This window comes from Homo sapiens, chromosome 16, assembly GCF_000001405.40.
Source record: "Homo sapiens chromosome 16, GRCh38.p14 Primary Assembly".
Lineage (NCBI taxonomy): Eukaryota > Metazoa > Chordata > Mammalia > Primates > Hominidae > Homo > Homo sapiens.
Genome location: NC_000016.10, coordinates 23618918 through 23639806, shown reverse-complemented (window position 1 = coordinate 23639806; position 20889 = coordinate 23618918). Strand labels below are relative to the sequence as shown.

Below are 20889 nucleotides of genomic sequence, written 5' to 3'. Positions count from 1 at the left end.
GCTCTATCTCCCAGGCTGGAGTGCAGTGGCTCGATCTTGGCTCACTGCAACCTCCGCCTCTCAGGTTCAAGCGATTCTCCTGCCTCAGCCTCCCGAGTAGTTGGGATTACAGACGCCCAACACCACGCCGGGCTAATTTTTGTATTTTTAGTAGAGACAGGGTTTCTCCATGTTGGCCAGGCTGGTTTTGAACTCCTGACCTCAGGTAATCTGCCCGCCTTGGCCTTCCAAAGTGCTGGGATTACAGGTGTGAGCCACTGCACCCGGCCTTTTTTTTTTTTTTTTTTTTCAAGCAGAGTCTCGCTCTGTTGCCCAGGCTGGAGTGCAGTGGCGTGATCTAGGCCCACTGCAACCTCCGCCTCCGGGTTCAAGCAATTCTCCTGCTTCAGCCTCCTACAGGCACCCACCACCACACCCGGCTCATTTTTGTATCTTTAGTAGAAGCAGGATTTCACCATGTTGGCCAGGCGGGTCTCGAACTCTTGACCTCAAATGATCCACCCACCTCAGCTTCCCCAAGTGTTGGGATTACAGGCGTGAGCCACTGCGCCCAGCTGAGTAGGTCTTTTCTTTTTTTTAAAAAAGGCATGTATGGAGGATGGAAATCTTGATGTTTTGTTGGTTGAAAGATGAGTACAGCTAAAAAGTTGCTAAAAAGCAGAAAAACCGAGGCTGGCTTTGCTGCTGAGAGAATCCTTTGAAGCAAAGAAGCCAGAGAGACGAGGGAATCTAGGCTTTCAGAGAACAGTAATTTGATTCAGCCCAATTCATTTATTTATTTAATAAATATTTGTTAAATGCCTACTGTGTGCCTGGCTGGAGATTGAGCAATGATAGCTCCAACCTCACTGGCCTTCTGCGTGTTCCTCAAACGTAGGTAACCTATTCCACTGCAGAGCTTTTATATTTGTGGTTCCCTCTGCCTGGGGTACCGTTCCCTCTGATCTTCCCAAAACTAGCTCCTTCCTCATTCAGTCTTAGGCTCAAATGATAGTCAAAAATGCCTCCCTGACCACTGTAACTAAAGTAGTCCCTGTCAGTAGGCCAGTAACTCTCTCATATCACTCTGTTTATCTGTGTATTTTTTTACCTTGTAAAATCATTTCTGTTTGTTTTCTTATTTATTATCTGTCTCCCTCACTGTATGTAAATTGCATCTAGAATAGCATCTGGAGCACTAATTGACACATAGTGGGTATCAATTATTATTCCAGGTACTAGAGATACCTGGACCATTAACGGATAAATAGAAGATTCATTTGTTGAGTGACTGAGGATGGCAGTTCCTGCTACCTTCAAGGATCTGGATGATGGGGAGAAACAGAGAACATAGTGTGAGAATACTGTGGTAAGGAAAGTACAGAGGACTGGTAGAGTGTCTAACCTAGATTTGGAGAAGGACCTAGAAGTCTATCCCAGGGAAATAAAAATCTAAGCTAAGGTTTGAGGAATCAGTAGGAATTGGCAAAGGAAGGACATGTTCCAGATGATAGGAACAGGTTATGCAAAGATCCTGAAATGGTCAGAGCTTGGTGCTTTTTGAGAACCAAAAGTAGATTGTTATGGACCAGTGCTACTCCCTGCCTCTTGCCAAGGGACCCCGCCAAGCACTGCATCCCTTCCCTCTGACTCCACCTTTCCACTTGCCCAGTATTGTTGGTGTTTTTCTTCTTCCAGTTAAAGGAGAAATTAGCATTCTTGAAAAGGGAATACAGCAAGACACTAGCCCGCCTTCAGGTAAGTGAATCGTATTCTCAAATTAAGGTGTTATAGTACAAACAATTTAAAAACAGTTCTTGACTCTATAAAACTTTAAAGAAAACGTATTTCTGGGGCTGTTTTTGTCTCCTCTAGCGTGCCCAAAGAGCTGAAAAGATTAAGCATTCTATTAAGAAAACAGTAGAAGAACAAGATTGTTTGTCTCAGCAGGATCTCTCACCGCAGCTAAAACACTCAGGTAAATCTAGACCATTCACTTATGCCTGCTTTATTATTCATTTCCCAGGTATATTTTGGCTATTGTTCTTTTTCCCACAGTGTGAAGATAATGACTAGCAATAGACGCTTTAATTTTAATTTTAATTTTAATTTTATTTTTTTGAGACAGAGTCTCACTCTTTGTTACCCAGGCTGGAGTGCAGTGGCACAATCTTGGCTCACTACAACCTCCAACTCCCAGGCTCAAGTGATTCTCGTGCCTCAGCCTCCTGAGTAGCTGGGACTACAGGCACGTGCACTACCACACCTGACTAATTGTTATATTTTTAGTAGAGATGGGGTTTCGCCATGTTGGCCAGGCCGGTCTTGAACCCCTGGCTTCAAATGATCTGTCTGCCTGGGCCTCCCAAAGTGCTGGGATACAGGTGTGAGCCACTGTGCCCGGCTGCAATATATTCTAATTAACATAAAATTCATATGCCGTAAAATCTATAGTCTCTATTTTCAGTTAGACTGTTTATTCTTTTTCCCTCTCTTGCTCTTTTTCCCTCTCAATTTTCAGAAATTATATTTATTGTTTAAATATTAGAAAGGTTTTTTGTTTTGTTTTGTTTTTATTTTGAGACAGAGTCTCACTCTGTCATCAAGGCTGGAGTACAGTGGCTCAATCACAGCTCACTGCAGCCTCCACCTCCTGGGTTCAAGCAATTCTCCTGCCTCAGCCTCCCGAGTACCTGGGACTACAGGCGCACACCGCCACGCCCAGCTAATTTTTGTATTTTTAGTAGAGACAGGGTTTCACCATGTTGGCCAGGATGGTCTTGATCTCCTGACCTTGAGATCTGCCTGCCTCAGCCTCCCAAAGTGCTGGGATTACAGGTGTGAGCCACCGTGCCCAGTGAAAGGTTTTTTTTAAAAATGTAAGTATATATGAACAGAGAAAAATTCTAGGTGAAAATATTCTAAAAACAATGATCAATTCTGATGTTTACATTCAAGTAATTTATAATCATAAAACTGAGGGGTTATTGAAATGGGAGTGTTATTAAAATTACTTGAGCCAAGGGGGAAAATAAAGAAAGAAATACATGAGATAGAAAACTAGTTGAGATTTAGAAGTTAAGAGAAGAGATTGTGTGATAAAGAATACTCTGTTCGTTTAAAAAACATTTTTAGCACAATGCTGTTTGTTTATATGTACTTAAAATTTCATAGATTATTAGAATTTAAAAAATCAGAACTTTTAAAAATATGTACAGTATGGAGTATGTACAGTTCCTTTACATACTCCATCAGATAGTAGAAGTAGTCAACACCTTGAACACATTCCTCCTAAAGGTAACAGTGACCTTACTACTCACAGCCTAAAAAATAGGTTTATTTCACCTGTAAATTCATCTGCCTGAATGAAATGTCACTGATTCTTTCTTAAATAAATGTTTAGTAGTATTTATATATAATAGGTTAAAAATGAGTATTTTTTGTTTTATTTTATAAGAAAAATATAAGTTATATACATTTTTTTCCTCCTCAGAACCTAAAAATAAAATATGTGTTTATGACAAGTTACACATCAAAACCCATCTTGATGAAGAAACTGGAGAAAAGACATCTATCACACTTGATGTTGGGCCTGAGTCCTTTAACCCTGGAGATGGCCCAGGAGGATTACCTATACAAAGAACAGATGACACCCAAGAACATTTTCCCCACAGGGTCAGTGACCCTAGTGGTGAGCAAAAGCAGAAGCTGCCAAGCAGAAGAAAGAAGCAGCAGAAGAGGACATTTATTTCACAGGAGAGAGACTGTGTCTTTGGCACTGATTCACTCAGATTGTCTGGGAAAAGACTAAAGGAACAGGAAGAAATCAGTAGCAAAAATCCTGCTAGATCACCAGTAACTGAAATAAGAACTCACCTTTTAAGTCTTAAATCTGAACTTCCAGATTCTCCAGAACCAGTTACAGAAATTAATGAAGACAGTGTATTAATTCCACCAACTGCCCAACCAGAAAAAGGTGTTGATACATTCCTAAGAAGACCTAATTTCACCAGGGCGACTACAGTTCCTTTACAGACTCTATCAGATAGCGGTAGTAGTCAGCACCTTGAACACATTCCTCCTAAAGGTAGCAGTGAACTTACTACTCACGACCTAAAAAACATTAGATTTACTTCACCTGTAAGTTTGGAGGCACAAGGCAAAAAAATGACTGTCTCTACAGATAACCTCCTTGTAAATAAAGCTATAAGTAAAAGTGGCCAACTGCCCACAAGTTCTAATTTAGAGGCAAATATTTCATGTTCTCTAAATGAACTCACCTACAATAACTTACCAGCAAATGAAAACCAAAACTTAAAAGAACAAAATCAAACAGAGAAATCTTTAAAATCTCCCAGTGACACTCTTGATGGCAGGAATGAAAATCTTCAGGAAAGTGAGATTCTAAGTCAACCTAAGAGTCTTAGCCTGGAAGCAACCTCTCCTCTTTCTGCAGAAAAACATTCTTGCACAGTGCCTGAAGGCCTTCTGTTTCCTGCAGAATATTATGTTAGAACAACACGAAGCATGTCCAATTGCCAGAGGAAAGTAGCCGTGGAGGCTGTCATTCAGAGTCATTTGGATGTCAAGAAAAAAGGGTTTAAAAATAAAAATAAGGATGCAAGTAAAAATTTAAACCTTTCCAATGAGGAAACTGACCAAAGTGAAATTAGGATGTCTGGCACATGCACAGGACAACCAAGTTCAAGAACCTCTCAGAAACTTCTCTCATTAACTAAAGTCAGCTCTCCCGCTGGGCCCACTGAAGATAATGACTTGTCTAGGAAGGCAGTTGCCCAAGCACCTGGTAGAAGATACACAGGAAAAAGAAAATCAGCCTGCACCCCAGCATCAGATCATTGTGAACCACTTTTGCCAACTTCTAGCCTGTCGATTGTTAACAGGTCCAAGGAAGAAGTCACCTCACACAAATATCAGCACGAAAAATTATTTATTCAAGTGAAAGGTAAATCAAGATGTGTTTGATGATGATGATGATGATGATGAAAGTTAACAATTACTATTTGCCTGGCACTTCCTTTTCTTTCTTTTCTAAAAAGTGACAGGGCCAAGTGTGGTGGCTTACGTCTGTAATCCCAGCACTTTGGGAGGCTGAGGAACAGAGTGAGACCCTGGCTCAAAAAAATTTAAATAAATAAATAAATAAATAAATAAATAAATAAATAAAAATAAAGAGACAGGGGCTCACTGTTGTCCAGGCTGGAGTGCCGTGGTGCAGCCTCTATCTCCTGGGCTCAAATGTTCCTCCTGCCTCAGCCTCCCAACTAGCTGGGACTACTGGCATGTACCACCATGCCTGGCTAATGTTTTAAAATTTTTTGTAGAGGTGAGGTCCTGCCCTGTTGCCCAGGCTGATCTTGAACTCCTGGCCTCAAACAATCCTCCCACCACAGCCTCTCAAAGTGCTGGGATTACAGACGTGAGCCACTGTGTCCAGCTTGCCTGGCACTTTCTAAATGTTGTACAGATACTAACTCATTGAATCATCACAGCAGTCCTATGTGAGGTAGAATCTATTTTCATTCTCACTTTACAGGTGAGGAAACTAAAGTACAGGGAGATTAAAATAACTTTACTTAATTTAATTAAAATCACAGAGCCAGGATTCAAACCTGGCGGTATGGTGCCAGAGTTCACTAATAGAGCTGAAACAATTCAACACTGAAAAGGAAAATGTATTGGTTGTTTACGTAATATTACATATTCAGGTTCAATACAATTCTTTGGGTAGAAGCTTCACAGCTAACATAGAAAGTGTTTTTGAAGTAAAATGGAATGTGTACTAGAGGAAGACTCTATGTTGGGCTTGGTGGCTCACCCCTGTAATCCCAGCACTTCGGGAGGCCAAGGTGGGAGGATTGCTTGAGCCCAGGAGTTTGAGACCAGCTTGGGTAAAATGATGAAACCCCATCTCTACAAAAAAAAATATAGAAAAATTAGCCAGGTGTGGTGGTATATGCCTGTGGTTTCAGCTACTTGAGAGGCTGAGGTGGGAGGATCACTTGAGCTCAGGAGGTTGAGGCTGCGGTGAGCTGTGATTGCACCACTGCACTCCAGTCTGGGTGATAGAGCAAAACCCTCTCTCAAAAAAAAACAAGACTAAGACTCCACTGACTATCTCTTTTAGAAGTCATCATGTAATGAAAAGGCCTAAGCAACTTTTTTGGATAAAATATCTAATGCAGTGTCTCTAAGGCCTCCAAGGGACACAGAATTTTGGAGGATGGGCAGCAACGATACATTGTAATTTAAACTTTCAATTCATTTACTGAGAATTTAATCATATCTGATGAACTAAGCACAAAATCTGGGTAATTCATTGTGGCTCTAAACTAGGGATCAGCATACTTTCTAGAATGGGCCAGATAGCACAGATTTTAGTCTTTGTGTTCTGTCTGTCTCAACTACTCAGCTATGTGCCAGAGCAGCCAGTCAACTTGTAACTGTGACTGTGTTCCAACGCACCTTTATATGCACTTTACAGCCAAGTTCCTAAAACAAAAAAACAACTTTATGTGCAAAAATAGGTAGCAGGCTGCTCTGTACCATTGGACATGGACTTGGTCTATAAGCTGTGACTAATTAATCCAAAAATAATAATTGTGACTTTTCATCATCTTTTAAGCGAACAAGGATACAAAGTCATCAAAAAGTAGGCAATCCAGTAATCTAGAAATACTGTTTTTTACACAGTAGTTTTTTTTTATTGTTGTTGAGACAGTTTCACCCTTGTCGCCCCGGATAGGGTGCAGTGGCGCTATCTCAGCTCACTGCAACCTCTGCCTCCCAGGTTCAAGCGATTCTCCCACCTCAGCCCCCTGAGTAGCTGAGATTACAGGTGCCCACCACCACACCCAGCTAATTTTTATATTTTCAGTAGAGATGGGTTTTTGCCATGTTGGCCAGGCTGGTCTCTATCTCCTGACCTCAGGTGATCTACCCACCTCGGCCTCCCAAAGTGCTGGGATTACAGGCGTGAGCCACCAGGCCCAGCCAGTAGTTTGAAATAGTCTGCTATAATTGTAGTAAACTGCAGCTACATTTAAAAACTTTTTTTCTCAAGGTGACATTCACGTAACAAAATTAACCATTTTAAATTAAGTGAACAAGTCAATACATTTACAGTGTTGTGCAACCACCACCTTATCTCATTCTAAAACATTTTCATCACCCCTAAACCCCATACCCATTAAGCAGCTGCTACCCATTTCCTCCCCTGACCCCCTACTTCATCCCTGGGCAACCACCAATCTGCATTCTATCTCTATGGATTTACCTGTTCTGGGTATTTCATATATATGGAATCATACAATATGTGACCTTTTGTGTCTGGCTGCTCAGCATAATGGGTTTGTTTGTTTTTGAGATGGAGTGTCACTCTGTTGCCCAGGCTGGAGTGCAGTGGCACAATCTTGGTTCACTGCAACCTCTGCCTCCCAGGTTCAAGTGATTCTCCTGCCTCAACCTCCTGAGTAGCTGAGATTACAGGCGCCTGCCACCATGCCTGGGTAATTTTTGTATTTTTAGTAGAGACGGGGTTTCACCATGTTGTCCAGGCTGGCCTCAAACTCCTGACCTCAAGTGATCCACCTGCCTTCAGCCTCTCAAAGTGATGGGATTATAGGTGTGAGCCACTGAGCCTGGCCACTTAGCATAATGTTTTTAAGGTATGTTTCTGTTGTAACATGCATCAGTACTTTGTTCCTCTTTATGGCTGACTAGTATTCCATTGTATGTATATACCACAGTTTGTTTATGCATTCATCATTGAGGATATAGCAACATTTTGAATGATGTGGGATACCATTTGCAATAAGAGCGGTAAATTGCTACTCAGGAGGCTGATGTGGGAGGATTGCTTGAGCCTGGGAGGCAGAGGTTGCAGTGAGCCAAGATCTCGCCACTGCACTCCAGCCTGGGCAACAGAGTGAGACCTCGTCTTGAAACAAACAAGCAAACAAAAAGCAGTAAATTACTCTTTGCTTCAAAAGGGGACTAAGTTTTCCATAGTGAGAAGAGCCAGCATTTTGTAGAACATACTCTGGCAGCCTGTTGAAATCACAGTTTTAGAGGTAGGAAAGAATGTAGGTATTTTTAGTTCATTTCCCTTATGAGAGACAATGAGAAAAGGGAAAATGAAATAAATCGATTTGCCTAAGGTTTCACTGCAAATCAGTGGTTGAGTTGAGACTTGTCCTCAGTCCCTTCTCCTAGTTAATACTATTGACCATACACTGTTTTGTTTTGTTTGGTTTTATTTATTTATGTATTTATTTATTTATACTGTTGGCCATACACTGTTTTGTTTGGTTTGGTTTTATTTATTTATTTATTTTTTGAGACAGAATCTCGCTCTGTTGCCCAGGCTGGAGTGCAGTGGTGCAGTTTCAGCCCACTGCAACCTCTGCCTCCCGGGTTCAAGTGATTCTCCTACCTCAGCTTCCTGAGTAGCTGAGATCACAGGCACGCACCACCATGCCCAGCTAATTTTTTTAGTTTAGTTTTTTTTTTTTTTTTTTTTTTTTTTGAGACAGAGTCTCACTCTGTCGCCCAGGCTGGAGTGCAGTGGTGCCATCTCCGCTAACTGCAAGCTCCGCCTCCTGGGTTCACGCCATTCTCCCACCTCAGCCTCCGGAGTAGCTGGGACTACAGGCGCCAGCCACCACACCCGGCTAATTTTTTTTTTTTTTTTTTTTTGTATTTTTAGTAGAGACGGGGTTTCACCATGTTGGCCAGGCTGGTCTTGAACTCCTGACCTCAAGTGATCCGCCTGCCTCAGCCTCTGAAAGTGCTGAGACTACAAGTGTGAGGCACCATGCCTGGCCTTATTTTTTTTAATTTTTATTTATTTATTTATTGTTTTTAAAGACAGTCTCACTGTGTTGCCCAGGCTGGTCTGGAACTCCTGGGCTCAAGCAATTCTCTTACCTTGACCTCTGAAAGTACTAGGATTACAGCTGTGAGCTACCATACCTGGCTAGCAATACACTGTTTTGGGTAGTGCAGAAAAATAGCTGCTAATTAATCAACTAACTCATGACCGTTGTTTGAACCCTTCGCCCAAGTTTCTGAGTCATGGATGGGAAAAGTAATGAACATTTTTTAGTATATTTGAGTTTAGAAGCTCACTCTTTGTTGGGTATTACATTTAAGAATGGTTTAACATGTTTCTTTGATAGGACTTCATTGTAAACATTAAGTTCATTCTGGGGAAATTAAGGTTCATTAAAATGTTTCTTTTAAATCTAGGAGATCCTATTCTCTTTGTCATCAGTGAAACAGATTGTCTGTTTTGTTGGGTTTTGTTACTATTTTGTGACTTATTTTTCTTCTTTAGGGAAGAAAAGTCGTCATCAAAAAGAGGATTCCCTTTCTTGGAGTAATAGTGCTTATTTATCCTTGGATGATGATGCTTTCACGGCTCCATTTCATAGGGATGGAATGCTGAGTTTAAAGCAACTACTGTCTTTTCTCAGTATCACAGACTTTCAGTTACCTGATGAAGACTTTGGACCTCTTAAGCTTGAAAAAGTGAAGTCCTGCTCAGAAAAACCAGTGGAGCCCTTTGAGTCAAAAATGTTTGGAGAGAGACATCTTAAAGAGGGAAGCTGTATTTTTCCAGAGGAACTGAGTCCTAAACGCATGGATACAGAAATGGAGGACTTAGAAGAGGACCTTATTGTTCTACCAGGAAAATCACATCCCAAAAGGCCAAACTCGCAAAGCCAGCATACAAAGACGGGCCTTTCTTCATCCATATTACTTTATACTCCTTTAAATACGGTTGCGCCTGATGATAATGACAGGCCTACCACAGACATGTGTTCACCTGCTTTCCCCATCTTAGGTACTACTCCAGCCTTTGGCCCTCAAGGCTCCTATGAAAAAGCATCTACAGAAGTTGCTGGACGAACTTGCTGCACACCCCAACTTGCTCATTTGAAAGACTCAGTCTGTCTTGCCAGTGATACTAAACAATTCGACAGTTCAGGCAGCCCAGCAAAACCACATACCACCCTGCAAGTGTCAGGCAGGCAAGGACAACCTACCTGTGACTGTGACTCTGTCCCGCCAGGAACACCTCCACCCATTGAGTCATTCACTTTTAAAGAAAATCAGCTCTGTAGAAACACATGCCAGGAGCTGCATAAACATTCCGTCGAACAGGTACAATCCATTTCCTCTGTGAAATTTTCTCTGAAGGAATGAAATGCCTTAGTGAATGTAAACAGCATGACTTGCTTGCGCATTGGGCCTTCCACGTTTAAGAATGGTTTGACGTGTTTCTTTGATATGATTTCATTGTAATCATTAAGTTCATTCTGGGGAAATTAAGGTTCATTAAAATGTTTCTTTTAAATATGGGAGGTCCTATTCTCTTTGTTATCAGTGAAACAGTTTGCATTTGGAGCTTTGCTGCTGTTATAAGAGGAAATAAAGACAATACGAAGTAGACATTTTGATGAGTGGGTAATGCAGGCAGACATTATACATAAAGTGTAGACTAATGATGTGACTTTTGTTTTCACAGACTGAAACAGCAGAGCTTCCTGCTTCTGATAGCATAAACCCAGGCAACCTACAATTGGTTTCAGAGTTAAAGGTCAGAAGAATATTCTCTTCCAGTGTCTCGTGTCTTACATATGAAAACTTTAATGAACTGAAAAGAATTCAGTCATATAGCTTCTTGTTCTTTAATACTATTAAAGATATTGGTAAACAGATTCAGAAAAACAGATTTGGATTGGTTATTTTTCCCAATATTTACCTCTGTTTATGTTTTGAGCTCTCCTCTTAAAGTTTCTATGCCAACCTATTGGCAAGAACAACTTAGGCTAAGTAACTGAACTTCATGTCTAAATCTAAGTTAGGGAGCTGGGCACGGTGGCTCACCCCTATAATCTCAGCACTTTGGGAGGCTGAAGCGGGCTGATCACTTGAGGTCAGATGTTTGAGGCCAGCCTGGCCAACATGATGAAACCCCATCTCTACTAAAAATACAAAAATTAGCCGGGCGTGGTGGTGGGCGCCTATAATCCCAGCTGCTAGGGAGGCTGAGGGAAGAGAATACTTGAACTGGGAGACAGACGTTGCAGTGAGCCAAGATCTTACCACTGCACTCCAGCCTGGGCGAGTGAGACTCTGTCTCAAAAATAAAATAAAATAAATCTAACAGGCATTTTGACGGAGTGAAATGAGAGTTATTCATGCCTCTCCTACTCAAATGGTGTAATGTTTCTGGAAGAATCACTTATGGTGATTTATAAGAAAATGGGGAGCAGTTCTAGTGGTTAATCTTTTCTGTGCAGTGTGGTAACTGAAAATGTTGCATTACTAAATGTCCTAGGTGTAGGGTTGAAGATGGGGGTGCAGAAGCTCTCCCAGAGAATCACTGGTGTGAAGGAAAACACTTCAAATCCACATAAAGTTTTTCCCAGTTACTGGCTATGTCACCTTGGACAAATTGTGTAACCTCTGAGCCCCAGATTCCTTTTCTATAAAGGATGCATAGTAATACCTATGCTCTGTTTCGGAATTTATTCTTGAGTCAATTTTAATAACTTATTTTATTTTTTGAGACAGAGTCTGTTGCCTAGGCTGGAGTGCAGTGGGGCAATCTCCAATCTCCAATCTCCACTCACTGCAACCTCCGCCTACAGGTTCAAGCAATTCTCGTGCCTCAACCTCCATAGTAGCTGGGATTACAAGTGTGCGCCACCACGCCTTGCTAATTTTTGTATTTTTAGTAGAAATGGGGTTTTGCCATGTTGGCCAGGCTGGTCTTGAACTCCTGACCTCAGGGGATCCGCCTGCCTTGGCCTCCCAAAGTGCTGGGATCACAGGCATGAGCCACCATGCCCAGTGTCCTAATAACTTAGTCTCTTAAAGAATCAACTATTTCATTCATATTTTCAAATGTGTAGGTAAAAAGTTACTTCTTATAGATTATTAAAATCTGTGTATATGTAATTAAGCCTCTCTTCCCCATTCTCCCATTTCTAAATTATTGTTTTTCTACATTAGACTCGAGAGTTGGCCATTACGTGGGTCTTCCAAACAAACTAGTTTTTGGTTGTATTGATTATTAATTGGGTTGTGTTTTTTTGTTGTTGTTGTTTGGTTTTCTAGTTCATTTATTTCTGTTTTTATAATAAACAGGATAACTGTAAATCATTCCTTCCTACTTTTTTTTATTGTTCTTATTTTGTTCTTGTACTGACTTCCTGAGCTGCATGCTTACTTGATTTTAATCTTTCTTGTTTTCTTAAAAATGCCTTTGTGATTATGATTTTTCTTTTTTTTTTTTTTTTTTGAGACGGAGTCTTGCTCTGTCGCCCAGGCTGGACTGCGGACTGCAGTGGCGCAATCTCGGCTCACTGCAAGCTCCGCTTCCCGGGTTCACGCCATTCTCCTGCCTCAGCCTCCCGAGTAGCTGGGACTACAGGCGCCCGCCACCGCGCCCAGCTAATTTTTTGTATTTTTAGTAGAGACGGGGTTTCACCTTGTTAGCCAGGATGGTCTCGATCTCCTGACCTCATGATCCACCCGCCTCGGCCTCCCAAAGTGCTGGGATTACAGGCGTGAGCCACCGCGCCCGGCCGTGATTATGATTTTTCTTGGAAATTTCCAAATTTTCTTGGAAATACTGCTTTGGCCACGCTCTGTGGTTTGATACATAGTGCTCCCATGGTCATAATAGTAGATAGTATAATGTATGTTGTTTCAATGTTACTCCCTCCGAGGAATAACATTGAAACCTGTGGTTTCAGCCCATGAGTGGTTCATCAGGATGTTTAATTTTCAAATGGATAAGTTCTACAGGATTTTTTTTGTGGTTATATCTGAATTTATTCCATCTGGACTATACATTTTAAAATCTTTCATGGGCCGGGCACGGTGGCTCATGCCTGTAACCCCAGCACTTTGGGAGGCCGAGGTGGGTGGATCACTTGAGGTCAGGAGTTCAAGACCAGCCTGGCCAAATGGTGAAACCTTGTCTCTACTAAAAATACAAAAATTAGCTGGGTGTGGTGGCGGGCGCCTGTAATCCTAGCTACTCGGAAGGCTGAGGCAGGAGAATCGCTTGAACCCGGGAGGCGAAGGTTGCAGTAAGCCGAGATTGCACCACTGCACTCCAGCCTGGGTGATAAAGTGAGACTCAGTCCCAAAAACACCCAAAAATTAAAATTAATAAAATAAATAAAAAATAAAATCTTTCATGATGTAAGTTTGATAGGCATTTTTTTAGGTACATAAGAACCACAAAGCTCTTTCTTTTCACCTGCATAAGACTTAAATTTTACATACCTACTGTTTCATTGAATTATAATTCATCACTTTGCATACTTATGCTTTGCATAAAACAGCACTCGAGTGCCACTTTAACAGAACTGTTGCCATTGTGTCAGAATCCTTCAGGTTCCTGTTCCGTAGATGTGAGTGCCATGTTTTGGGAAAGAGCCGGTTGTAAAGAGCCATGTATCATAACTGCTTGCGAAGATGTAGTTTCTCTTTGGAAAGCTCTGGATGCTTGGCAGTGGGAAAAACTTTATACCTGGCACTTCGCAGAGGTAAGTGGGAATCTCGAGCTGAAAGAGATCTTTGCAGCCATTTGCCTGATAATGTAGATGGGCAGCTTACCAAAATTGGGAGCTATGACCATGCAAGGCAGAACAGAGATGAGGTTTTTTTCCCAACATTTTATTATGAAAAGTTTCAAACATCCAGAAAAGTTGTATAGTGAGCACCCATATACCCACCATTCTAGACTCTACCATTAACATCCTGCTTTGTTCGCTTTATCACAAATTTTTGTTTGTTTGTTTGAGACAGGGTCTCACTCTGTCATGCAGGCTGGAGTGCAGTGGCATGATCACGGCTCACTGCAGTTTCAACCTCCCCAGGCTCAGTAATCCTCTCACCTCACCCTCCCAAGTAGCTGGGACCACAGGCATGCACCACCATGTCTGGCTAATTTTTTATTGTATTTTTTTCTTCTTCTTTTTATTGAGATGGAGTCCTGCTCTGTCACCCAGGCTGGAGTGCAGTGGCATGATCTCGGCTCACTGTCAACCTCTGCCGCCCAGGTTCAAGGGATTCTTGTGCCTCAGCCTCCTGAGTAGCTGGGATTACAGGTGCCCACCACCATGCCTGGCTAATTTTTTTGTATTTTTAGTAGAGACGGGATTTTGCCATGTTGCCCAGGCTGTTCTTGAACTCCTGACCTCAGGCAATCCGCCTGCCTCAGCCTCGCAAAGTGCTGGGATTACAGGTGTGAGCTACCACACCTGGCCTATATTTTTTATGCAGACAGGGTTTTGCCATGTCGCCTGGGCTGGTCTTGAACTCCTGGGCTTAAGCCATCCGCCTGCCTCAGCCTCCCAGAGTGCTGGGGATTACAGGTGTGAACCACCATGCCCAGCCCATCACAGGTTTATCTAGATATGGGTTTTTTGTTTGTTTGTTTGTTTTTGGAGAGAGAGTCATACTCTGTTGCCCAGGCTGGAGTGCAGTGGGGCGATCTTGGCTTACTGCAATCTCCGCTTCCCGGGTTCAAGCAATTCTCCTGCCTCAGCCTCCCGAGTAGCTGGGACTACAGGCGCCCACCACCACGCCCAGCTAATTTTTGTATTTTCAGTAGAGATGGGGTTTTACCATGTTGGCCAGGATGGTCTCTAACTCCTGACCTCAAGTGATCCACTCGCCTCGGCTTCCCAAAGTGCTGGGGTTACAGGCATGAGCTCTACACCCAGCCTAGAGACGGGTTTTTACACTAGACCTGTTGGAGGAGCTTAGAATTTTATGTCTATTCTGACTTTGACACTTGCTGATATTTGTACTCCTTGCCCTTCACCAAGGCATTATTTTGCTTCTTTTCTACATGTATTTCCTTCTGGTCTTTTCCCACCATCATATACATCTTACAAGCTTGCAATCTTAGTGTGCTTAAAATTTTTAGATCTGTCTTTTCTCACCATACATATAAACATTTTTCTGGCCAGGCGAGGTGGCTCACGCCTGTAATCCCAACACTTTGAGAGGCTGAGGTGGGTGGATCACCTGAGGTCAGGAGTTCAAGACCAGCCTGACCAACATGGTGAAACCCCGTCTCTCCTAAAAATAAAATTAGCCAGGTGTGGTGGCGAATGCCTGTAATCCCAGCTACTCAGGAGGCTGAGGCAGGAGAATCGCTTGAACCCAGGAGGTGGAAGTTGCAATGAGCTGAGATTGTGCCATTGCACTCAAGGCTGGGCAACAAGAGTGAAACTCCGACTCAAAAAAAAAAATTTCCTTGTTCCTGTAGAGTCTTCATACTTGAATATACCTCATTCTTGCTCTCCAAATATATACAACATCTAACACTGTGCTTTACACAGAGGTGCCCAATAAATATTTGTTCAGTGAACATAGATATACTTTTAAATGGCTGCATAAATATTCTTTACATTCACATGCCAAAATATACCCAATTATTCCCCTATTGTTAGAATTATACCTTGCATTAGGTAAATGCTCAGTAAGCACTATTATGCTATTATGCATATAGTTTATTTAGATTTACAGCTAATAAAAAGAGTTTTCTGAGCCTTCAAATGATGAAAATTATCCTTGTACAGTGAGAATACAAAAGAATGTGATAAATTTTGGAAAATCTGGATTAAACAAAAATGAAACAACCAAGCATAATTTTTGGCTGCTTTGTTTTATTTAGGTTCCAGTATTACAGATAGTTCCAGTGCCTGATGTGTATAATCTCGTGTGTGTAGCTTTGGGAAATTTGGAAATCAGAGAGATCAGGTATGTAATTCCCAAGGAGTGATTTGTTTTTCCTTCATCTTTGTCTCTGTCAGCTGGTTTTAAGTGCAGGTAATAACCTAGGCTTGAGTCTTGAAAGAATCTGAAAGATCTAAAGAGAGAGAGATTTGTTTAAAAAAAAATCAATAGAATGACATCCCTGACTGAAGTTTCTATTTAAAATGTGAACCTAGGCTGGGCGCAGTGGCTCACGCCTGTAATCCCAGCACTTTGGGAGGCCAAGGAAGGTGGATCAACTGAGGTCAGGAGTTTGAGACCAGCCTGGCCAACATGGTGAAACTGTGTCTCTACTGAAAATACAAAAATTAGCCTGGTGTATAGCACCTGCGGGTGCCTATAATCCCAGCTACTCAGGAGGCTGAGGCAGGAGAATTGCCTGAACCCGGGAAACAGAGGTTGCAGTGAGCTAAGATCGTGCCACCACTGCATTCCTTCTGGATGACAGAGTGAGACTTTGTCTCAAAAAAAAAAAAAAAAAAAAAAAAAAAAGGCCGGGTATGGTGGCTCACACCTGTAATCCCAGCACTTTGGGAGGCCGAGGCAGGTGGATCACGAGGTCAGGAGTTCGAGACCAGCCTGACCAACATGGTGAAACCCCGTCTCTACAAAAATACAGAAAAATTAGCCAGGTGTGGTGGTGCGCACCTATAATCCCAGCTACTCAGGAGGCTGAGGCAGGACAGTCGCTTGAACCTGGGAGGCAGAGTTGCAGTGAGCCAAGATTGTGCCACTGCACTCCAGCCTAGGCGACAGAGCAAGACTCTGTCTCAAAAAAAAAAAAAAAAAAAAAGTGAACCTAGTCCTTTAATATTAAAAGGTTACTCCTCACATCACCCCATTTTTCCTTATATTTGGCTTAGGGCATTGTTTTGTTCCTCTGATGATGAAAGTGAAAAGCAAGTACTACTGAAGTCTGGAAATATAAAAGCTGTGCTTGGCCTGACAAAGAGGAGGCTAGTTAGTAGCAGTGGGACCCTTTCTGATCAACAAGTAGAAGTCATGACGTTTGCAGAAGATGGAGGGTAAGAAAAGCATTGATTGATTTTTAACTATTAGATGAAGAATGATTTTATCACAGGTTTCAGAGAAAGTTGGGTAACTAGGATCTCGTTTTTCTGTGCTGGGGGTGTAATATAAGCATGTACCGCATCAACACTAGGTTATGACATAGAAGCAGGTTAGTGAGGTGGAAGCCAGACATGTCAGGGATGAAGTCAAAGAAGGTGAGAGGCTCAGCAAATGTAGTTTGTTCTTCAGTCTTCTTGAAATCTGTGTGTCCCTTAAATGTTAGAAATACCTCTGCTGGGCACAGTGGCTCATGCCCATAATCCCAGCCCTTTGGGAGGCCAAGGCAGAAGTTTGAGCCCAGGAGTTCAAGACCAGTTGGGGCCACATAGCAGGGCCCCATCTTTACAAAAAATTTAAAAATTAGCTGGGTGTGGCAGAGCATGCCTTGTGGTCCCAGCTACTAGGGAGTCTGAGGTGGAAGGATCACTTGAGCTCAGGAGTTCAAGGGTGCAGTGAGCTGTGATCACGCCACCACACTCCATCTTGGGCAGCAGAGCGAGACCTAATCTTAAACACACACACACACACACACACAAATATTTTTAAAAATATAGAAATACCTTAAGGTCCTAGACCCTTTCCTCGTTCCACACACTTGTGTCCATTGCTTCACTGACCATCTTGGTGCTGACTACTTGCAAACATACATTTCTACCTCTGAGCTCTTTCTTGAGCTCTAGACCTGCAGGCCTATTTATTAGACGTATTGGGGACACCTTAAATTCAAAATGTTGCAAACTGAACTTACAGCATCTTCTCTATTATATACTCATTACACTTTATTTTTATTTTTCAATTACATTTCATTGTTATTATTCATGTATCTTCTAAAAATGGAGGGCAGGGAACTTTGGCTTATTTATTCATGATCTGTTGCAGTAATCTAGGCAAGAGATGATAATTGTTTGCTTAAATTAGGGGTATGTTAGTGGAGATGGGAAGAAGCAGACAGATTTCTGAGAGATGAGAAGATAAAATTACTGGGACTTGGTGATTGACTAGATTGAGAGGAAGGAGAGAATATCAACATGGTAGGGTTGGTCACTTGAGTGGTGACCAAGCTCGAAATGTGGGTATTATCCTTGTCTCCTTCCCCCCAGTCTAGGTGGTCACTTGAGTGGTGACCAACCCTGAAACTTGGACATTAGATGGTGATGCAATTCATTGAGATAGGAATGCAGAAAGAAACAAAAGGTTTATAGAAAAAGTTAACAAGTTTAATTTTGAATATAATGAATTCGAGGTGCTTGCAGCATATCTAGGTAGATATTATGAAAGTAATATATGTTCATTGTAGAAAGTTTAGTATACACGTTTTCTGGGTTAGATTTTTTTTTCCTGATATTAGGTTAGTTTATATTATGCAGTTCAACAATGCGGAGAAGGGCTACCTAGAGACTGCTTTAGTGCAAAGTACTGACTTTTCATACTGTTTTAATTACAGAGGCAAAGAAAACCAATTTTTGATGCCCCCTGAGGAGACTATACTAACTTTTGCTGAGGTCCAAGGGATGCAAGAAGCTCTGCTTGGTACTACTATTATGAACAACATTGTTATTTGGTAAGCTTTCCCTCTAGGTCCTCAGTTCCCTCATCTGTAGTATGAGGATATACCTCTAATTTTACAGGGTTGTTGTGAAGATTAAATAAGAGAGTATGTGTAAACATGATTGTGGTTTTGTGTTGCTGTTGTTGTTGTTTTTGTTGTGTTTTGAGACAGAGTCTCCTCCTATCACCCAGGTGGGAGTACAGTGGTATGATCTCGGCTCACTGCAACCTCTGCCTCCTGGATTCAAGTGATTCTCCTGCCTCAGCCTCCCGAGTAGCTGGGATTATAGGCATGTGCCACCACACCCAGCTAATTTTTGTATTTTTTAGTAGAGATAGGGTTTCATCATGTTGGCCAGGTTGGTCTTGAACTCCTGGCCTCAAGTGATCCACCTGCCTCAGACTCCCAAAATGCAGGGATTACAGGAGTGAGCCACCGTGCCTGGCTAATTTTTGTATTTTTTAGTAGAGAAGGGATTTTGCCATGTTGGCTAGGTTGGTCTTGAACTCCTGGCCTCAAGTGAACTGCCCGCCTTGGCCTCCCAAATTGCTGGGATTACAGGCATGAGCCACTGCGCCCGGCCTGATTGTGGTTTTTTTGTCAGATACTATATACTTGACTTACCAACAACATCATATTAATTGAGACATAACCAAAAAAGATCAGTCTGAGTAGACTATTTAAAACTAAATGGAATTCTGTTTTCAAAGATGTACACTTCTTTCTGCTTTTGGTTAGTGGTTGAGTAGTTTCTGTCAGACCAACTGTCTACCTTCGAATAAGTATACACTCTGGAAAAAATACAAAAAACAACTTTCTAAAGGCACCAGAGAACAAGAAAAAGAAGAAACATACTGGAGGGGTTTCTCCCTTTAGGTGAAGGGAATGGCACTAGGCAACATTCCTATTATGGCTTTAAGCTAGGGGGCAAGGCCCACTCTGCTCACTGGGTGACTGGAAGCCTAATAGAAGATCTTCTGTCCCACTGGCTTAGAGAACCAAAGGACAGAGTTCAGGGTGATCGCAGCTGCTAGAAAGGGAGGGGAAAAGTCCTAAAAAGGAGAGAGCAAAAAATAAAAAAAAGAACCCTAAATTCTAGCTATAATGTTTACCTAAATATTTGATTGACCCTTTAAACTGCATATTCATAGGTCAGACTGCTTGGAGTCTGGTAAGACTGAAAGCAGCTCAGGTAAGACTGAAAGAACGAATTTCAGTTTCGGCATTTGGAGTTCAAGTTCAGCCAAGTTAACTGTTTACTAGGACAGACAAACTTACAACCAAAAAAATCAGGGCCGGGCACGGGTGGCTCATGCCTATAATCCCAGCACTTTGGGAGGCCAAGGCAGGCAGATCACTTGAGGCCAAGTGTTCGAGACCAGCCTGGCCAACAAGGCAAAACCCCAGCTCTACTAAAAATACAAAAATTAGCCAGGCGTGGTGGTGCACACCTGTAATTCCAGCTACTCAGGAGGCTGAGGTAGGAGAATCGCTTGAACCCAGGAGGCGGAGGTTGCAGTGAGTCAAGATTGCGCCACTGCACTCCAGCCTGGGCGACAGAGCAAGATTCTGTCTCAAAAAAAAATAATAATTTTTTAAAAGTCAATAGAATTGTATTTTAAAAGTACTTACCATATTGTCTGGCACATAGGAGGTATTCAGTAAATGTTAAAATTCCTTTTTAAAAAATATTTTTAAAAAGAAAAAACATCAGTGTTTGTCAGAGGAACCTAACAGAATACAAAGTTTTTGCAACATATTAATATCACTGTAACTAGGATACAGTCCAAAGTTACTCAGTATACAAAAAATAAGTGTGGCGTCTCTACTAAAGATACCCCATCTCTACTAAAGATACCTCGTCTCTACTAAAGACACAAAAATTAGCCAGGCCTGGTGGTGCGAGGCTAAGGCAGGAGAATCGCTGGAACCTAGGAGGCAGAGGTTGCAGTGAGCCGAGATCGCGCCACTGCACTCTAGCCTGAGTGACAGAGTGAGACTCTGTCTCAAAAAAAGAAAAGAAAAAAGTGTGATCACAGGAACCAAATTAACAGATTTGTGATAGGGAAACCATCACAGGAGTCCCCAGCCATCTCTTTTCTGACTATAGGGAGAACCATACCCAGCCACAGGCACTTACTTGCAAGTTTAATTTGTATTAGGAAAATAGATTGATGTTTTTTCTTTTCTCAGAAGCCTTGTCTATTAACTGTTTCCTTAGGGCCAGAGTGGGTCTTGGTAAGAGGAAGTTATATTAGTGTGACCACTACCCTAGCTCTTATGTACCATCCAACCCTAACCTTTTTTTGTTTTCTTTTTTTTAAACACTATGGTGACTTACAACCCTAACCTTCTAGGAATAAACTAGAAAAGTATGGCCCTTGAGAGAAACGTTGTGCCCTTCCCACCAGAAAGCCTCTGAAATTTGACTATGTTCTGATCTGCCAGAAGACCCT

The 20889-nt window shown here is 42.0% G+C and overlaps 1 protein-coding gene across 19 annotated transcripts in view; it reads left to right on the top strand.

Annotated features, from left to right (window-relative positions):
* PALB2 (partner and localizer of BRCA2) overlaps positions 1-20889 on the top strand; it is a 38146-nt gene that overhangs the window by 1504 nt on the left and 15753 nt on the right. For 7 of the 19 annotated variants that reach the window (NM_001407308.1, NM_001407306.1, NM_001407299.1 and 4 more), the window contains exons 2-10: positions 1678-1737; positions 1855-1957; positions 3473-4945; positions 9338-10167; positions 10532-10603; positions 13410-13571; positions 15713-15798; positions 16677-16838; positions 18329-18445. In NM_001407308.1, coding sequence (NP_001394237.1) covers positions 4147-4945; positions 9338-10167; positions 10532-10603; positions 13410-13571; positions 15713-15798; positions 16677-16838; positions 18329-18445 — 2228 coding nt within the window. In that variant the 5' untranslated portion in view covers positions 1678-1737; positions 1855-1957; positions 3473-4146. Of the gene's footprint in view, positions 1-1214; positions 1349-1677; positions 1738-1854; positions 1958-3472; positions 4946-9337; positions 10168-10531; positions 10604-13409; positions 13572-15712; positions 15799-16676; positions 16839-18328; positions 18446-20889 lie in introns of all 19 variants that reach the window. The other 12 variants (NM_001407309.1, NM_001407311.1, NM_001407305.1 and 9 more) reach the window with 8 other exon arrangements.